The following is a 19,767-nucleotide window of genomic DNA, read 5'->3' as shown; positions in this document are numbered from 1 at the left end:
AAGACAAGATAAAAGCCTTAAAACATGATTCAATTTTGCTACTATTCTGTTTATTTTTATTTCAATAAGTTTTGGAGGAATAGGTGGTATCTGTTTACATGAATAAGTCCTTTAGTGATGATTTCTGAGACTGTGGTGCACCCATCACCCAAGCAGTGTACATCACCCAATATGCAGTCTTTTATCTCTCATACTTCTTCCACCCTTTCCCCCAAAGTCTATTGTATCATTCTCCTGCCTTTGAATCCTCATAGCTTAGCTCCCACTTCAAGTGAGAACATGTGATGTTTGGTTTTCCATTCCAGAGTTATTTCACTTAGAATAATGGTCTCCAATTCTATCCAAGTTGCTAACAATGTCATGATTGTGTTCCTTTTTATGGCTGAGTAGTATTCCCTGGGTGTATATGTGTGTATTCCCTGGTGTGTGTGTGTGTGTGTATACACACATACAAAACACATTTTCTTTATCCACTAGTTGATTTATGGGCATTTGGGCTGGTTCCATGTTTTTACAATTAATTGTGCAGCTATAAACATGTTTATAAACAAGTTTCTTTTCTGTATAATGGCTTCTTTTCCATATAATGACTTCTTTTCCTCTGAGTAGATACCCAGTAGTGGGATTGCTGGATCAAAAGTATATCTGCTTTTAGTTATTTAAGAAATTGCCACACTGGATTCCTCAGGGATCTAGAACTAGAAATACTATTTGACCCAGCCATCCCATTACTGGGTATATACCCAAAGGATTATAAATCATGCTGCTATAAAGACACATGCACACGTATGTTTATTGCGGCACTATTCACAATAGCAAAGACTTGGAACCAACCCAAATGTCCAACAACGATAGACTAGATTAAGAAAATGTGGCACATATACACCATGGAATACTATGCAGCCATAAAAAATAATGAGTTCATGTCCTTTGTAGGGACATGGATGAAACTGGAAACCATCATTCTCAGCAAACTATCCCAAGGACAAAAAACCAAACAGCTCATGTTCTCACTCATAGGTGGGAATTGAACAATGAGAACACATGGACACAGGAAGGGGAACATCACACTCCGGGGACTGTTGTGGGGTTGGGGGAGGGGGGAGGGATAGCATTTGGAGATATGCCTAATGCTAAATGACGAGTTAATGGGTGCAGCACACCAACATGGCACATGTATACATATGTAACTAACCTGCACATTGTGCACATGTACCCTAAAACTTAAAGTATAATAATAATAAAATAAAAAATAAATAAATAAATAAATAAAAAAGAAATTGCCACATTGTTTTCCAAAGTGGTTGTACTAGATTACATTCTCAAAAGCAGTGTAAATATGTTCCCTTTTCACCACATCCATGCCAACATTTTTTTTTTTATTTTTTGCTTATGGCAATTCTTTTAGGAGTAAGGTGGTATCACATTGTGGTTTTGATTTGCATTCCCCTGATCATTAGTGATGTTGAGCTTTTTTTCACATGGTTTTTGGACATCTGTATATCTTCCTTTGAGAATTGTCTATTCATGTTATTAGCCCACTTTTTGCTGGGACTGTTTGCCTTTTCTTGCTGATTTGTTTGAGTTCCTTGTAGATTATGGATATTCATCCTTGAATTCTTTTTTTTTTAATTTTATTTTTTTATTATACTTTAAGTTTTAGGGTACATGTGCACATTGTGCAGGTTAGTTACATATGTATACATGTGCCATGCTGGTGTGCTGCACCCACTAACTCGTCATCTAGCATTAGGTATATCTCCCAATGCTATCCCTCCCCGCTCCCCGCACCCCACAATAGTCCCCAGAGTGTGATGTTCCCCTTCCTGTGTCCATGTGATCTCATTGTTCAATTCCCACCTATGAGTGAGAATATGCGGTGTTTGGTTTTTTGTTCTTGCGATAGTTTACTGAGAATGATGGTTTCCAATTTCATCCATGTCCCTACAAAGGACACGAACTCATCATTTTTTATGGCTGCATAGTATTCCATGGTGTATATGTGCCACATTTTCTTAATCTAGTCTATCGTTGTTGGACATTTGGGTTGGTTCCAAGTCTTTGCTATTGTGAATAATGCCGCAATAAACATACGTGTGAATGTGTCTTTATAGCAGCATGATTTATAGTCCTTTGGGTATATACCCAGTAATGGGATGGCTGGGTCAAATGGTATTTCTAGTTCTAGATCCTTGAGGAATTGCCACACTGACTTCCACAATGGTTGAACTAGTTTACAGTCCCACCAACAGTGTAAAAGTGTTCCTATTTCTCCACATCCTCTCTAGCACCTGTTGTTTCCTGACTTTTTAATGATTGCCATTCTAACTGGAGTGAGATGGTATCTCACTGTGGTTTTGATTTGCATTTCTCTGATGGCCAGTGACGATGAGCAGTGATGATGATGCTCATAATCCTTTAATTCTATATATAGATTGTGAAGATTTTCTCCCATTATGTGGGTGATCTGTTTACCCTGCCGAAAATTTCTTTTGCTGTGCAGAAGCTTTTTAGTTTAATTAATTCCTATTTATATACCTTTGTTTTTCTTGCATTTGCTTTTGGGTTCTTGGTCATGAAGTCTTTGCCTAAGGCAATGTCTAGAAGGGTTTTCTGATGTTATCTTCTAGAACTTTTATGGTTTCGGGTCCTAGATTTAAGATTTTGATCCATCTTGAATTGATTTTTGTATAAGGTGAGAGATGAGGATCTGGTTTCATTCTTCTACATGTGGCTTGCCAGTTATCCCAGCACCATTTGTGGAATACAGTGTCTTTCCCCACTTTATGTTTTTGTTTGCTTTGTTGAAGAGTGGTTGACTGAAATTATTTGGCTTTATTTCTGAGTTCTCTATTCTGTTCCATTGGTCAATGTGCCTATTTTTATACCAGTACCATGCTGTTTTGGTGACTATGGTCTTATAGTATAATTTGAAATTGTGTAGTGTAATGCCTCCAGATTTGTTCTTTTTGCTTAGTCTTGCTTTGGCTATTTGGGCTCTTTTTGGGTCCCATATGAATTTTAGGACTCTTTTCTTGCTATGTGACATTGTGGAACTGGCTAAAAAAGATATTTAGATGAATATAAATAACAGAATAGAGTGAAAAGAAATTGATCTTCACGTATACGGTCAACTGAATTTCAGCAGTGGTTCTTAGAATATTAAATAAAAGGGATTTTAGGCAAAAAGAAAAAAAAGAGAGAAAAAAAAGTCTTTTCACCAAGTGAAACCGGAAAAGCTGGATACCTATATGAAAAAAATATTCCCCAAAATCCATAAACAAGCTATGTGGTACATACAGCCATACCATTGACTATTATTTAGTATTAAAAAGGAACAAACTATTGCCACATGCAACAAAATAGATGAATAGCAACTATATTAAAGAAAGAAATTGTTTATAAGGAAATTATAAAAAGGCTTAATTATAAAGACAGAAAGCAGAACAGTTATTATAGAAGCTGAGCATAGGGGAAGATATTATCAGTAAAAAAAAGATACTATGAAGTTATTTGAGGTTGTTGAAATCTTCTTGATTGCAGTAATTGTTAAATAACCATATTCTTTATAAAAATGATGTAACTACCTACTAAAAAATTTAATTTTACCTTGTACATTAGTAACTTAATATACTTGACAAAAAAAATTTAATTTTGGAAAACTTTAATACATGGCAGAAACACGTATTGTTTATCGTGTGGGCCATATTGCCAACTAGAGTGTGATTCACTGGACTGAGCATGGGGAAGTTACCATTACCTGGTCTTTCAGATAACCAGAATTTCCATTATATACAATCAATCCTTTTTCTGGTTAATTATTTTTGAAGTGATTTTCTCACTTTTCCTACAGTTGCTGAATGCCAAATATTAATCAATTGCTATAGTTTTGATTTGATTTATTCATTGAGGCAGACATGGTCACTTATTTCTGTTGTCTTAACAATTAAACCATATTGACTGTTCAATGACCCAACTGATTTTTGAAGATTGGCTGCCATTCCAGTTGGAGAGGAAGTAGGTACCACAAAAGTAAATTGCTTTAAATGTATACACATCTGACATCAGTGTTGTGCAGCAGAAATACCATGGTTTATTTATTGTTAACAAAATATGCTAATTCATAGATATAAAAAGAAAGTCATAGGGAATGGATCCTATATCTTCTTCAAGAGAAGAAGAAAACAGAAAAGAACTGCCCATAAAGTATTCACTTATATTTAATATGGGTAATCATTGAATGATATTAAACAATGATAATTTTTGATATTTGCAAAACAGATAAGCAGTGTTGGGTGACAGTTCGAGAATACATGAATTTAAATAATAGCCTGTCACTGCCATCCTCACCACCCTTATATGCAACTATGCTTCTCTATTAATTGGACTTCGCTTATCTATTATGAAACTGGTTATGAGAAGTCTGTAGAGGAGGGATACTAAATTACAAATTACAAATATGTATCTTAGTTTGATAGGGATATTTGAAAAGGAAAAAATAACTGTATCAACAACAATAATAATAATACCTAACACTATGAACAGAACATCTGGATGTCTATTGATAAAACGGTAGAAAGGGACAATGAGAGATGCAACTATAATTTACCCAATGTTGGGCATTAAATGATAAAACTGTAAAAATTTAAAATGCTGTTTCATGAGGAAAATTTAATGGATTTATATGCAAAGGGGTAATCTATTTCAACTATGCTACAAATTAGAAAAGATATTCTCTGAGAAAATAGGTTTTAAAATTCCTGCCATTTTCAGAGTTCATAGTGTGCATCACCAGGCCAGAAGATTAGCCATCACTGCCACCATCACCATCCATATAAGATAATGGATGTCATATGTCATGTATACTTGGATAGACAGAGACAAAATATGGTAAAGCTGTTTATAAATTAAAAGCAGTGATTAAAGAGTTAAGTCCCTAAAGCTAGAGTAGACAGACAGACATATATTTGGATGGGGAAGAATGAAATAAAATATACCAAGAGGGATACAGAATGGAAATCAGTGACCAGATCAATGACTATATCTCCAGAAAAGGTATCAGCACTTCATTAGCAAGCAGGGACTGGAAGCTGATATTATAAATAAGTGCCAAGAATGATAATGGCTTTGAGATTTTACTCTACTTGCAAGTTGTGTAGAGTAAACTATGTGGCATTTTCATTATGAAGTCTAAACAGGTCATTTTCTTTTTTTTAACACAATACCATATAATTACTTATAGTTCAAGCGCTTTACATTACCTTTCCAGAAATTAGTCATCTTATAACTGAAAATGTGTACCCAATGACCACCGTATCTCCATTTCTCCTACCCACCTCCAGTCTTCTGGAAACAACCTTTCTACTTTCATTTCTGTGAATTAATTATTATATTTTATTTTATCTTACTTTTAAGGTCTGGGATACATGTGCTGAAAGCACAGCTTTGTTACACAGGTATACAAGTGCCATGGTGGTTTTCTGCACCTTTCAACTCGTGGTCTAGATTTTAAGATCTGTGTTCATTAGGTATTTGACCTAATGCTCTCCCTCTCCTTTACCCCAAACCCCCAGTAGGCCCCGGTATGTGTTGTTCCCCTTCCTGTGTCCATGTGTCCTCATTGTTCAACTCCTACTAATGAGTGAGAACATGTAGTGTTTGGTTTTCTGTTCCTGTGTTAGTTTGCTGAGCATGATGGCTTCCAGCTTCATCCATGTCCCTGCAAAGGACATGATCTCATTCTTTTTTATAGCTACGTAGTATTCCATGGTGTATATGTACCACATTTTCTTTACCCAGTCTATCAATGTTGGCCATTTGGGTTAGTTCTATGTCTTTGCTATTGTAAGTAGAGCTGCAATAAACATACATGTGCATGTATCTTTATAGTAGAATAATTCATATTCCTTTGGGTATATACCCAGTAATGAGATTGATGGGTCAAATGGTACTTCTTGTTCTAGATCCCTGAGGAATTGCAACACTGCCTTCCACAATGGTTGAACTAATTTACATTCCCACCAACAGTGTAAAAGTGTTCCTATTTCTCCACAGTCTCACCACTCTCTATTGTTTCTTGACTTTTTAATAATGACAATTCTGACTGGCATGAGATGGTATCTCATTGTGGTTTTGATTTGCATTTTTCTAATGATCAGTAATGATGAGCTTATTTCATATATTTTTTGCCTGCATAAATGTCTTCTTTTGAGAAATCTCTATTCGTATCCTTTGCCCACTTTTTGATGGGGTTGCTTTTTTCTTGTAAATTTGGTTAAGTTTCGTGTAGATTCTGGGTATTAGACCATTGTCAGAGGGATAGATTGCAAAATTTTTATCTCATTCTGTAGGTTGCCTGTTCACTCTGATGCTAGTTTCTTTTGCTGTGCAGAGCTCTTTGGTTTAATTAGATCCCATTTGTCAATTTTGGCTTTAGTTGCAATTGCTTTTGGTATTTTCATCGTAAAGTCTTTGCCCATGCCTATGTCCTGGATGGTATTGCCTAGGTTTTCTTCTAGGGTTTTTATGGTTTTGGGTTTTACATTTAAGTCTTTAATCCATCTTGAGCTATTTTTGTATAACGTGTAAGGAAACGGTGCAGTTTCAGTTTTCCGCATATGGCTAGCCAGTTTTCCTAGCACAATTTATTAAATAGGGAATCCTTTCCCCATTGCTTGTTTTTGTCAGGTTTGTCAATGATCAGATGGTTGTAGATGTGTGGTGGTATTTCTAAGGCCTCTGTTCTGTTCCATTAGTCTATATATCTGTTTTGGTACCAGTACCATGCTGATTTGGTTACTGTAGCCTTGTTGTATAGTTTGAAGTCAGGTAGTGTAATGCCTCCAGCTTTGTTGTTTTTGCTTACGATTGTCTTGGCTATACAGTCTCTTTTTTGGTTCAATATGAAATTTAAAGTAGTTTTTTCCAATTAGGTGAAGAATGTCAGTGGTGGTTTGATGGGAATAGGATTGAATCTATCAATTACTTTGGGCAGTATGGTCATTTTCATGATATTGATTCTTCCTATCCGTGATCATGGACTGTTTTCCATTTGTCTGTGTCCTCTGATTTCCTTGAGCAGTGGTTTGTAGTTCTCCTTGAAGAGGTCCTTCACATCCCTTGTAAGTTGTATTCCTAGATATTTTTCAGCTCCATTTCAGCTTCAGGTCATTTATGTTCCTCTCTAAACTGATTATTCTAGTTATCAGTTCCTGTAACATTTTATTAAGGTTCTTAGCTTCTTTGCCTTGGGTTAGAACATGATCCTTTAGCTCAGAGGAATTTGTTATTAACCACCTTCTGAAGCCTACTTCTGTCAATTCGTCAACCTCATTCTCCGTCCAGTTTTTGTGCTCTTGCTGGAGAGGTGTTGTGTAGTGGGAAGTCAGGGACCCCGAACGGGGGGACCGGCTGAAGCCACGGCAGAAGAATATAAATTGTGAAGAGTTCATGGACATTTATTAGTTCCCCAAATTAATACTTTTATAATTTCTTATGCCTGTCTTTACTGCAATCTCTGAACATAAATTGTGAAGATTTCATGGACATTTATCACTTCCCCAATCAATACTCTTATAATTGCCTATGCCTATCTTTACTTTAATCTCTTAATCCCATCATCTTCATAAGCTGAGGATGTATGTCTCCTCAGGACCCTGTGATGATTGCGTTGTCTGTACAAATTGTTTGTAAAACGTGTGTTTGAACAATATGAAATCTGGGCATCCTAAAAGAACAGGATAACAGCGCTTTTCAGGGAACAAGGGAGATAACCATAAGGTCTGACTGCCTGTGGGACCGGGCAGAACAGAGTCATATTTCTCTTCTTGCAAAAGCGAATAGGAGAAATATAGCTGAATTCTTTTTCTCAGCAAGGAACAGCCCTGGGAAAAGAATGCATTCCCATGGGGAGGCCTCTAAAATGGCCGCTCTGGGAGTGTCTGTCTTATGCAGTTGAAGATAAGGGATAAAATATGCCCTGGTCTCCTGCAGCACCCTCAAGCTTGCTAGGATTAGGAAATTCCAGCCTGGTGAATTCTAGTCAGACCGTTTGCCTGCTCTCGAACCCTGTTTCCTGTTAAGATGTTTATCAGTGACAATGTGTGCACAGCGGGACATGGAACCTCATTAGTAATTCTAATTTTGCCCTGGCCTTGTGACCTTGCTCTGCCCTTCTGCCCTTGTCATCTTTTATTGCCATTTGAAGCATGTGATCTCTGTGACCCACTCCCTATTCATACCCCCCTCCCCTTTTGAAATCCCTAATAAAAACTTGCCAGTTTTGTGGCTCAGGTGGGCATCACGGAAACTGCTGACATGTGATGTCACCCCCGGAGACCCAGCTGTACAATTTCTCTCTTTTGTACTCTTTCTCTTTATTTCTCAGCCTGGCCAACACTTAGGTAAAATAGAAAAGAACCTATGTTGAAATACTGGGGGCTGGTTCCCCTGATAGTGTTGTGTTCACTTGGAGGACAAGAGTCATTCTGGCTTTTGGAATTTCCTGTGCAAAAAGGTTATTTTCAAAATACTAGTTTTGTCATCCTCCTAATGTACTACTAGAAATTGTTTTTGTAACAAGAGAATGTGAAGTATTTATTAAGACACTATTTTATATTTTCCTGAAATTTCCAACTACTCTGAGAATAGCTGAAGAAGTAGTTTGGCTTTACAATGAATGCTCTACAAGAGCAGATTAAGGATAAAGAGCCAATATCATTGCAGATATCCATGTAGATTGGCTTTGGAATTAAGCATGCTAACTGGGATTACAATAATAATCCAAGTAAAGTGCAATAAAGCGCAATAAAGTAAAGTGCAATAAAAAGTTAAGCCAATTGTCTTAAAGTTTTAGGAGTGAGAATAGGGGTGTTAAAAATAAATGAGGGCTGGGTGTGGTGGCTCACACCTGTAATCCCAGCACTTTGGGAGGCCGAGGCAGGCGGATCACGAGGTCAGGAGTTCAAGACCAGCCTGACCAACCTGGTAAAACCCTGTCTCTACTAAAAATACAAAAATTAGCTGGGCATGGTGGCACGTGCCTGTAATCCCAGTTACTTGGGAGGCTGAGGCAGGAGAATTGCTTAAACCTGGGAAGCAGAAGTTGCAGTGAGCCGAGATCGTGCCACTGCACTCCAGCCTGGGCAACAGAGTGAGACTCCATCTCAAATAAATAAATAAATAAATAAATAAATAAATAAATATTTTCAATGAATCATTCAGATTCATTAATTCAATAAACAACTTGTGATAGACAGTGTGAAGTTGCTAGATACAGAATTAAATGAGTTAGCTCTTATTCTTTTTTTTTCTTTTTTTTTTTTTGAGACAGAGTCTCGCTCTGTCACCCAGGCTGGAGTGCAGTGGTGCCATCTCAGCTCACTGCAAGCTTTGCCTCCCGGGTTCACACCTTTCTCCTGCCTCAGCCTCCCGAGTAGCTGGAACTACAGGTGCCCGCCACCATGCCCGGCTGATTTTTGTGTTTTTATTAGAGACAGAGTTTCACCATGTTAGCCAGGTTGGTCTCGATCTCCTGACCTCACGATCCACCAACCTCGGCCTCCCAAAGTGCTGGGATTACAGGCATGAGCCACCATGCCTGGCCAATTAGGTCTTATTCTCATGAGTTAAACATTTTATAGGAAGACAGACAATATACCAGTAAATAAAAAAACAACAACTTGGCAAGAGTCTATTCTTAAAAATTACAGAGAACAATAGGATAGCAGGTAACTAGGTGGCATTTTTTATTATAGCAATCATAGATGGTGAGGCTTCAAATATGATAGAAATTCACCTATGAGAGGATCTGGGAAAGAGCTTTCTGGTCAAAGCAACAGCAGTCTGAAGGTCTTGACATGGAATAAGCTTAGTATATTCAAAAAACAGCAAGAAGGTTGGAGAGGCATAGAAGAGAAGAGAGGCAGAAAATAATGTAGAGCACTTGGGGGTGGGTTTATGTAGGGTTTTTGTAGGCTACAGTAAGAGTCCCAGTTTGATAAACATTATTTTATTCCTATCTGTCCAGGAAAACTTTCTATCCTCTTCTAGTATCAAAATGCTTCTTCACTATGAAGCTGACTTCTCTCCCCAGGTTAAAAAAAATATGCACTTGACAGACCTGCACAAGCCTTATCTCATTCACTAGCCATAGCCATTAGTGGAGGATGGATATGTTTTCAAAACCAAGTTAATCTCAGGCATTTTTAAACCTTATGTTAAAGAGTTATTATGAGAAAGGTACTTCCTTTATTCTACATGAAGAATAAAACCATCAGAGACATTCAAATTTCATAATATTCAAGACTCAGGGTCCAACCATTTTGTGTATCAGAGAGCCACAGACAGTTACATACATGAATACATTCCATGTTTTGATTAACTTGCTCGATTTAAGTTTGGCAACTTGCAGCTGAAAAAGTCTTAGCTAATATCCCTGTGAATACTTATCTAGCACAAGGATCTTATTTACTCTTACCTTGATGTTTAGAGTTATCTGAGAACTCCTGAGAAATTTTCCATTTGCCACAGTTGTTAACTTACCAAAATTCAAATTTAATATTGGATTGAGAGCAGCTTTTAATGCTCTGAGATTTAGTTGATGATTTTATGGGCTCCATAGCATGCAGAGAAGTTGCCTCCTATTAAATATAATGCACATCCCTGTGAAATAAATGCCGAAGTTGGCCTAGGCTTTTGAAGTTACAGTTCTTGAGTGACACATCTTTTTCAATTCACTTCCATAGGACTCAGTATAAATCCACTGCAAGCATGGCTATATTAAAGCATATTCTGGTGTCATGTGCTTCACATTTTACCCTGCGTTGAAATGTTAACCCATTGATCTTGCCTCATTAAACTCTTCTGGTAAATTGTATACCAAAATCCTTATTGTCTTTTCTTACCACATGGCCTTGAAAGTAATTATTTCAGTCGATATTGTCATAAATGCTGATGACTTAAATTACCACTATTATTACTTTGTCCATTGTCTTTAAAATTTTTATTCTGAGTTCAGTCTTCTCTGCTAATGTATGAGCCAAGATATCCAGTAACTAATTCAACTTCTTTACCTAGATGCTTTAAATTTAGCTCAACACTCAACATATACCACATCACAGTATGTTCCATGTCATGATCTCCTTCACTCCACAATGTCTCATGGATTTTATTTTTTCAATATCTATACTGTTTCAATCTTTGCAACCACTAATTGAGTCCAATCACAGATACTTTTACCTGGATTTCTGCAATAACCCCTAACTGCCTTCCATGAAATTATTTTGTCCCTTTACAATTACCATGCTATAATCCAAAAATAATAATTTAAATCTCAGTGAAATTATTGCAATCCCATGATTAAAATCCCTTGGTAGATTCTCATCAGTCTTTACATAAATATAAAACTCCTACACATGCTTTATGAGGACCTGCATAATCTATCACCTGCCCTCCAGTCCATCCACATGTCACACTACTCTTGCCTCCCATTAGCTGTCTGGCATGCTTTCTTTCCACTGGCCATAATCCAAAAACTTGCTTCACATCTGCTGCTGTAAATTATGACATCTAGTTGCTGTCGTTTCTTCTTCTTCCCCATTTCCGAAATTCATGCCCCTTCCTTTCCACTTCCAGGATTCGTACCTAGAACCAGGTAAACATTTTGTCTTTTTATTTTTTCTGAGTCATATATGTTAAAGAGTGTGTTTTATAGGTAGAGAGGGGCAGAATTAGAATTGAGGTTTGAGAGATTTTTCTTGATAAATACAACAAAATTGTTTCAGTGACAGGAAAGTGTCCATAATTACATTTGCCTATAATATGTATTTAGGATGAGTAACGTAAGGTACATTGGACAACCTCAAAAATAAGTTTTTATAAGAAAAGGGTACAAATCTTGACAATCATGGATATAAACCACTAAGTCTGTCCTGGGATCGAGTTTTATTATAGTGTTTTTAAAATTTTTAGGACCTAAGCCTATAAATCTTATTAGGAATCTTTCTAACTCCTTCAAGCCATGGGCTAAAATTCAACTAAAATTTCTTCTAGTGCTGCAGGTATTTTTAGTGGATGCTATGATAGAATTGAATGCAAGGAGAAGTTGTCTTTCAGCCTTACTAAATTATAATAAGAAGCCTCTGGCTACTGCTATTTAAAAAAGTTATTTTCCTGGGGTAACCTAGGAGGGAAAACGTCAGAATTTTATTACAGACAAGGAAAGGGATTATCATACCCACCTTTCTCCATTCCATAAGGAGTGGTCTCTACACTCCTTTTGGACAGCTCACTTTTATAATAGCTACTAGTTCAATTCTTACTAGTATTCTTTCCACACAATTTTGAATTTTGAATTGTGTGGGAAAAAGACTAGTAAGTACATTAAATTTCATAGTCATCAAACTAGAAAAATTCTCAACAGGACATCTAGTCCCTGCATCCACCTGTGGAGAAAATCTCAGATAATGGTGAAATGCCCAATAAAATTCCAGACTACTAAAATTGCCATAGGAATAATGGCTTAAATCAACTTTTTAGTTTCACTCGATTTCTTAATAGATTGGTTCATAATTAATTTCATTCTTTGTGCAGTGGAGAATATATTCATCTCATTGATAATGTTTTACATAATACTGTCCATATATACTTGGCCTTGAACTAACCAATTTGGAAAATAGGAAGAAAACATTCTCATTTCCCTGCTTTCTCTCAAACATGAAATAGTTTCTCTCTCTCTCCATGTATGTGTGTGTATATATATATGTGTGTGTATATATATATATATATATACACACACACACTCTAATACAACTTGTCTTTGTTTAAAGTCAATTTGCTAGCTAAATTAGAAAAACAAAGACAATGTGTGTATAAAATTTAATAGCAAAACAAGAATTCAAAAATGCTTATGGAATGTATATAAGAATGGAAGAAAAGGAGAAAGAAGACAAAAGCAAAAAAAAAGGATGGTGGGGAAGGGATGGGGGATGAAGAAGGAAGGGAGGGAGGAGGAAGGGAAGAAGAAAAGAAAGAAATATATTTTCAATTTATATATATGATTTCTGTAGTAGACCCATGATGATTCCTAATAGTTGAAATTATTTAAAATAACGCCTATGAATAAATTTTATATTTAGGTAGGCCAGTTCTATTTTATTTACCAATAAAGAAAGAGAAAATGATAAAATAAGAGAAGAAAATCAATCCTATTAGTGAGGAAATGAAGCTGAAATTTTCTACACTGTTTCTATGAGCCATTAAACATTTTTTAAAATTTCTCTGATTGCAGATTTAATAAAAATTTGTCTTCAGAAACTGCTGATTTTAAAATAATTTCTTACTATTGAGAATACAGCACTGCAAAGACAATACTTGTTTGGATAAATTTCTACAGAATGCTGAGATTTTTTTTTTTTTTTAAAGACCCTTCTTAGTAGCTAGCAGGGAGGAAAAATGATAACCCCTGATTTTCTCCAAACATCCACGTATCATTCCCCAACCTGGACCTGGAAATAGTTTTTATAGCTTGAAAAAAATGTCAGAAACATCTTCCGTTGAATTTAAAGGCTGTCTTCATGGTCATGTGAAAGGATTAGGAGAGCTGTGGGAACAAGCAGGTCTGGAATGTGCTTCAAAAGCTGCAACTGTAAAAGATGAGTCATGGCTGTGGGGCCAGTCAAGCTGAGACAAGAAGAGTGTTGTGCAGGCAGCACTCAGCCTTGAAGGATTTACACAATAAAAAATAAATAAAATAAGTCTGTTGCTATGAAATGCAGGCCATTGAAGGCTTAAATTTTAAAATGCTTTAATGTCTTTGTGTCTGCTTTGTTAGAAAGAAACAGAAAAATCTGTATTTCATAAATAATTTGGGTTATTGCCAATGGGGAAAGGAAACGTAGTGATTATTTTAATGGCAAATAAATTTATCGAGCTTTTTCTAAGCAGCAAGACCTCAATTATCAGTAGCAGCAAATAAAACAGCAGAAATGCCTGATAAAAGTCAGGGTAGAACTCCCTTTATCTATTCTTTATTCAAACTAAATGGGACAGTTAATGTTGTGCCTTGAGCAGGATCTTTGTAGTAAATTGGCCGTTTTCTTTTCCCCCAACACATTCTGGGATGCCTTTCAGGACAAGTAGACAAAGGAATTAGTATCTGTCCCTTTAACAGGGATTGTCTCTCTATGCCTGTCCTCCAACTCCCTGGCTATACTCCTGTCAAATGTTTTATAGGGATTAGAGGAGGAAATAGGACTAATGGATTTTCGTCTGAGACTTGATCTTCTAGTGCCATCTATTGCTGCTTTTATTTTTAACTTCCATGGCCAAGTTTTCATTAAAGGTTCAGCAATTCAGGACTATTTTTAAGTCTTAAATGATTGATTAAATTAAACACAGAGCCAATTAAATTCTCATCTCATATGGAGTGACTTTTAGCAATATTTTTCTGCTAAATATAATGAAGGAAAATGCACATATATGATCTAAGTTTGTACTGGAACTAAGGCTAGGTCATCCCAGTTCTGTTTTGTTTTCTTTAAAACCCTCCTTTTAAGTCTGAGTTATCAAGATAATTATCTCAATTATTTAATCTGAGTGACTCCATCGATATTTAATGGTCTCATCAAGATTAGATCTGCCCAAGCATCTAAGAATATTGGTGGGGAAAAATGTAGAAGTTGTAATTTCTTATTTTTCAGTAAAAATGGAATTTTATCTCATTGTGCCTAAACTTCTATTCCAAATTATTCTCTCTCCCTTCTTGTCTGCAAAAAGAGTTCTATTAGTACTAATATTTCATTTATATGAGCAAAGGGAAAAGTGGAAATGAATAACTATCTAATGTCTTTGATTGCTATAGGTAACAATTTTCCTGGGCAAGAAACCCTACCCCACCTTAATCTGACAATATTTTCTATTCTGAATTATAAAGGTAATTTTATTTATGCAGACAAAGGTAACACTGATTAAATAATCTAAATTCTAGCTTCTAACAACAGGTCATGGAAATTCTGGCTTATCCTGTCAGTTAAACATTAAAACAAAGTGTGCCTCCCATGTTAAATGCATGTGTTCAAAAGATATTTTGCTAAAGTTGTCATTCTTGACTTCTACTTGGCAATGTTTTGACAGGATATTCTCATCACGTCAAAACTAGCCGTGATTGGCCGGGCGCAGTGGCTCACGCCTGTAATCCCAGCACTTTGGGAGGCCGAGGTGGGCGGATCACGAGGTTAGGAGATCGAGACTATCCTGGCTAACACGGTGAAACCCCGTCACTACTAAAAATACAAAAAAATTAGCTGGGCGTGGCAGCGGGCTCCTATAGTCCCAGCTACTCGGGAGGCTGAGGCAGGAGAATGGCGTGAACTCGGGAGGCGGAGCTTGCAGTGAGCGGAGATCGCGCCCCTGAACTCCAGCCTGGGCGACAAGCGACAAAGGGAGACTCCGTCTCAAAAAAAAAAACAACAAAAAAACTGGCTATTATTCATGACTGTTGATCGACTGCAAAAAATAATGGTTATTCTAAAAACGATGAGAGAAGTGAAAGACCTCCTTATTTTCTTAAGAATTATTATTTCACAGGCTATTTTTTTGTTTCTTTGCTTTTTGCTTGTGTGTGTGTGTAAGTTTGGTTGTTTTTTATTAAGTGCCAACTGAGGGGAGCACACTGAAGAATAGAAACTATGGTCTGACAGGGTAAAATAAATGAACAAATCATAATGAAAAACAATTATTTTTTTTCAAGCATCTGATAGGTGTGTGTGTAATATGGGGAAAAGTCATATTGTAAATATCTTCCCAATATATCATACAAATAATTAAAACCGCCTTAAGTTGTTAGGTTTTGCAATCTTCCCTCCTTCGTCATCCTTCCTTTTTTCTTTCACAATAGTTAGAAAATTTTACATTCTAGCTCAGAATATAATACTTGAAATATATTTTCCTATTTTAAGCAATAAAAACATTAAAGAGACAAACTTTCACACTGTGGCTTAGAGAAAGATTATCAAGACTAAGAACAAGATGTGGAAATTGCTTAGAAGTAATGGCTATCTGCCACATTCTGGTGGTAAAGGATAAAACAGCAAAATGGACATAATTTTATTAAATATTTCTGACTGCAAAGGAAAATTTGTTAGAAAATAACAGGTAAATCAATCCGTTGGGGATACCATTATTATCAGTTTTATTAGAGAACCAGAAGAGGGCACTCACCTCCTGCAAAAGATAGCAAACTAACTAGAGCAAGCAATTGGATATGTCTTCAAATAAATAAAAACAAAGGATTCTAGTGTAACATTCATTATAGAGCCTTCTAGCATACTTCATGATAAATGTATAATTGATGATGTTCTATAATATCAAATAAATACTGAAAATATATACTACATTTGTATTACTTCAGTGGTAGCTCAAGACATTAAGTTGCTTTTTTTTTTAATATTACCATCCTTTTCCATGGTTTCATATTGAAATAAGGATTTGAGAATGATGTAATTTACTTGTATTTATTTGTTTTTCTTATTTGATTAAGAAGAAAAGAAAAGCTATGACTAGGTTCCAAAACTAACTACCACAATAAACAGTTGCCCAAAGAAAGTTTTTAAGATATTTTCCAGGGAATTCTCTGTCTCTGTGTCTCTCTCTTGATATTAATAGAGATATCGATAAAAGTTATATATACAGATATATGAATATGTATGTCTGTATAAATATACATATATATACATGTGTGATCTGAGCATTAAGTTAATTATCATCTAAAGTTATCCAAAACCTTGAAAAATGAAAGAAAAGTTGTATATTCTTCAGTTGTTTGGTATAGAAATTTATTAATAAAAATTAAGTCAAATTTGGTGATAGTGGTTTTATCTTTTCCTGTTGTCTTCTCATCTGCTACAAGGGTGGTGTTGAGTTGTCTCTGTTTCCCTTTCTTTCATAATCATATCATGTATTTTGAAGCTCTTATGTTTGGTGCATTAATATTTAATATTATTTTGTCTTCCATTTAAATTGTTTTTTTAATATTTGTGAAACTTTCTTCATCTCCAGAAAATTTTCTGTCCAAATTCTGGGTTCTAAAATTAATTACTACACAGTTTGACTGAAGAAAGTCTTCAGGACATTCTCTAAGGAATTCTCTCTCTCTGTCTCTCTCTTGATAGTGGTTAGATACAGATATAGATAGATACAGAAGATATATAGATATATGCATTCATAAATCAAGACCCATATACAAATGCATATATCTATATATGGATCTTGATATTTTACCCAGTATGTTAATCTCTGCCTTTTATGTTGAGTATTTAGTAAATTATATGGTTATATGCTAAGCATAGCATTTTTCTATTTGTTTTCTGTTTGTTTTGTCTATTTTCTTTTTGTATCTCTTTGACCTTATGTTGGATTAATTAAATAAAGGATTTATCGATCTGGTATTTTAATTATCTATTTAAATATATATATATACACTTTTGTGTACATTTTTCTGGTTGTTCTAAGGATTACAATATGCATCCTTAACATATCACAGCATAATAAGAATTAATACACCACATTGGCAAAAATATCATAATTCTTCAACAAACAGTATAAGAAACTTCTATCATTTGCACTATCATTTTTTCATAATTTACAATTATATAAGACATAAGTCCCCTAGAAATCAATAACAAGAGGAACTTTGGAAACTGTACAAACACATAGAAATTAAAGAATATGCTCCTGAATAACAAGTGGGTCAATGAAGAAATTAATAAGAAAATTGAAAAATTTATTGAAACAAATAAAAAAGGAAAACAATATACCAAATCCTATGAAAGATAGCAAAAGCAGTATTAAGAGGAAAGTTTATAGAAATATTTGGCTACATCAAAAAAGTAAAAAAACTTAAAATGAACAACCTAATGATGCATCGTAAAGAACTAGAAAAACAAGAGCAAACCAAACCCAAAATTTGTGGAAGAAAAGAAGTAATAAAAATCAGAGCAGAAATAAATAAAATTGTAATGAAAAAACAATACAAAAGATCAACAAAAGGAAAAGTTGGTTTTTTAAAAGATTAATGAAATCAACAAGCCTCTAGCCAGACTAAGAGAAAAACAGAGAAGACCCAAATAAATGAACTCAGAGATGTAAAAAGAGAAATTACAACTGATACCACAGAAATTCAAAAGATCATTAGAGACTCCCATGAGTAACTGTCTGCCAATAAATTGGAAATCCTAGAAGAAATGAACAAATTCTTAGACACATACAACCTATCAAGTTTGAATGATAAAGAAATCCAATGTCTGAGCAGGCCAATAACAAGGAATGAGATTGAATTCATAATAAAAAGTCTCCTGGCAAAGAAAAGCCCAGGATCCACTGGCTTCACTGCTAAATTTTACCAAACATTTAAAGAACTATTATCAATCCTACCCAAACTATTCCAAAAATTTAGAGGAGAGAATACTTCCAAACTCATTCAATGAGGCCAGGGGCCAGTATTACCTTGCTACCAAAACCACATGAACACATAAAAAAATAAAAAAGGAAACTACAGGCCAATATCCCTGATGAATATTGATGCAAAAATCCTCAACAAAATACTAGCAAACTAAATTCAACAACACATTAAGTAGATCATTCATCATGACCAAGAAGGACTTATCTCAGGAATGCAAGGATGGTTCAACCTATGCAAATCAATCAATGTGATAAGTAATTTCAATGAAATGATGAACAAAAACTATCTGATCATTTCCATTGATGGCAAAAAAGCATGTGACAAAATTCAACATCCCTTTATGATAAAAATTCTCAAAAAACTGGAACTGGATATAGAAGGAATATACCTTAACACAATAAAAGCCACATATAACTGACCCACAGCTACTATACTGAATGGAGAAAAAGTGAAAGCCTGTCATCTGAGATCTGGAGTAAGGGAAGAGGGCTCACGTTTACCTCTGTTTTCAACATAGAATTGGAAGTCCTGGCCAGAGCAATCAAAAAAGAGAAAAAAAATGGCATTCAAATTAGAAAGGAGTAAGTCAAATCATTTTTGTCTGCAAATGATAATGATCTTACATTTGGAAACACCAAATATAACTCCACCAAAAAAAACTATTAGAACTGATAAACAAATTCAGTAAAGTTGCAGAATACAAAATATATATATAAAACTCAGTAGCATTTCTGTATGCCAATAGCAAACTATCTGAAAAAGTTATCAAGAAAACAATCCCATCTACAATAGCTACAAATGAAATAAAATACCTAGGAATAAATTTAATCAAAACAGTGAAAGATCTCTAAAATGAAAACTATAAAACATTGTAAGAAATTGAAGAGTACACAAAGTTGAAAGATATTCCATGTTACTTTACTGAAAGAATTAATATTGTTAAATATCCATACTACCCAAAACAATCGACAGATTCAATGTAATCTCTCCCTATCAAAATGCTAATGACATTCTTCGGGGATATAGAAAAAATCATTCAAAAATTTGTATGGAATTACAAAAGATCCAGAATAGCCAAAGCCATCCTGAGCAAAAACCAAAATTGGTGGAATCACATTACCTAACTTCATATTATACTACAGAGCTATTGTAACCAAAACAGCATGATACTGGCATAAAAGCAGACAACAAATGAGAGGAACAGAATAGAGAGCCAAGAAACAAATCCACACACCTACAGTGAACTCATTTATGACAAATTTTCCAGCAATATGCACTGGGGATAAGACAGTCTCTTCAATAAATGGTGC

At 35.2% G+C, this 19,767-nt stretch overlaps 1 long non-coding RNA gene across 3 annotated transcripts in view; it reads right to left on the bottom strand.

Annotated features, from left to right (window-relative positions):
• The window catches only part of LINC02503 (long intergenic non-protein coding RNA 2503), a 75,942-nt gene that overhangs the window by 27,078 nt on the left and 29,097 nt on the right, over positions 1-19,767 (bottom strand). The window contains exons 4-5 of one of the 3 annotated variants that reach the window (NR_186772.1): positions 11,446-11,643; positions 10,543-10,662 (exon numbers count right to left, since the gene is read on the bottom strand). The exons of 1 other annotated variant lie outside the window; for it this stretch is intronic. This is a non-coding gene — a long non-coding RNA (long intergenic non-protein coding RNA 2503). The remainder of the gene's footprint in view (positions 1-10,542; positions 10,663-11,445; positions 11,644-19,767) is intronic. One more of the 3 variants, NR_186771.1, reaches the window with a different exon arrangement.

Source organism: Homo sapiens, chromosome 4 (genome assembly GCF_000001405.40).
Source record: "Homo sapiens chromosome 4, GRCh38.p14 Primary Assembly".
Lineage (NCBI taxonomy): Eukaryota > Metazoa > Chordata > Mammalia > Primates > Hominidae > Homo > Homo sapiens.
Note: the sequence above shows the minus strand (reverse complement) of the source record. Positions and strands in the feature narration are given on the sequence as shown.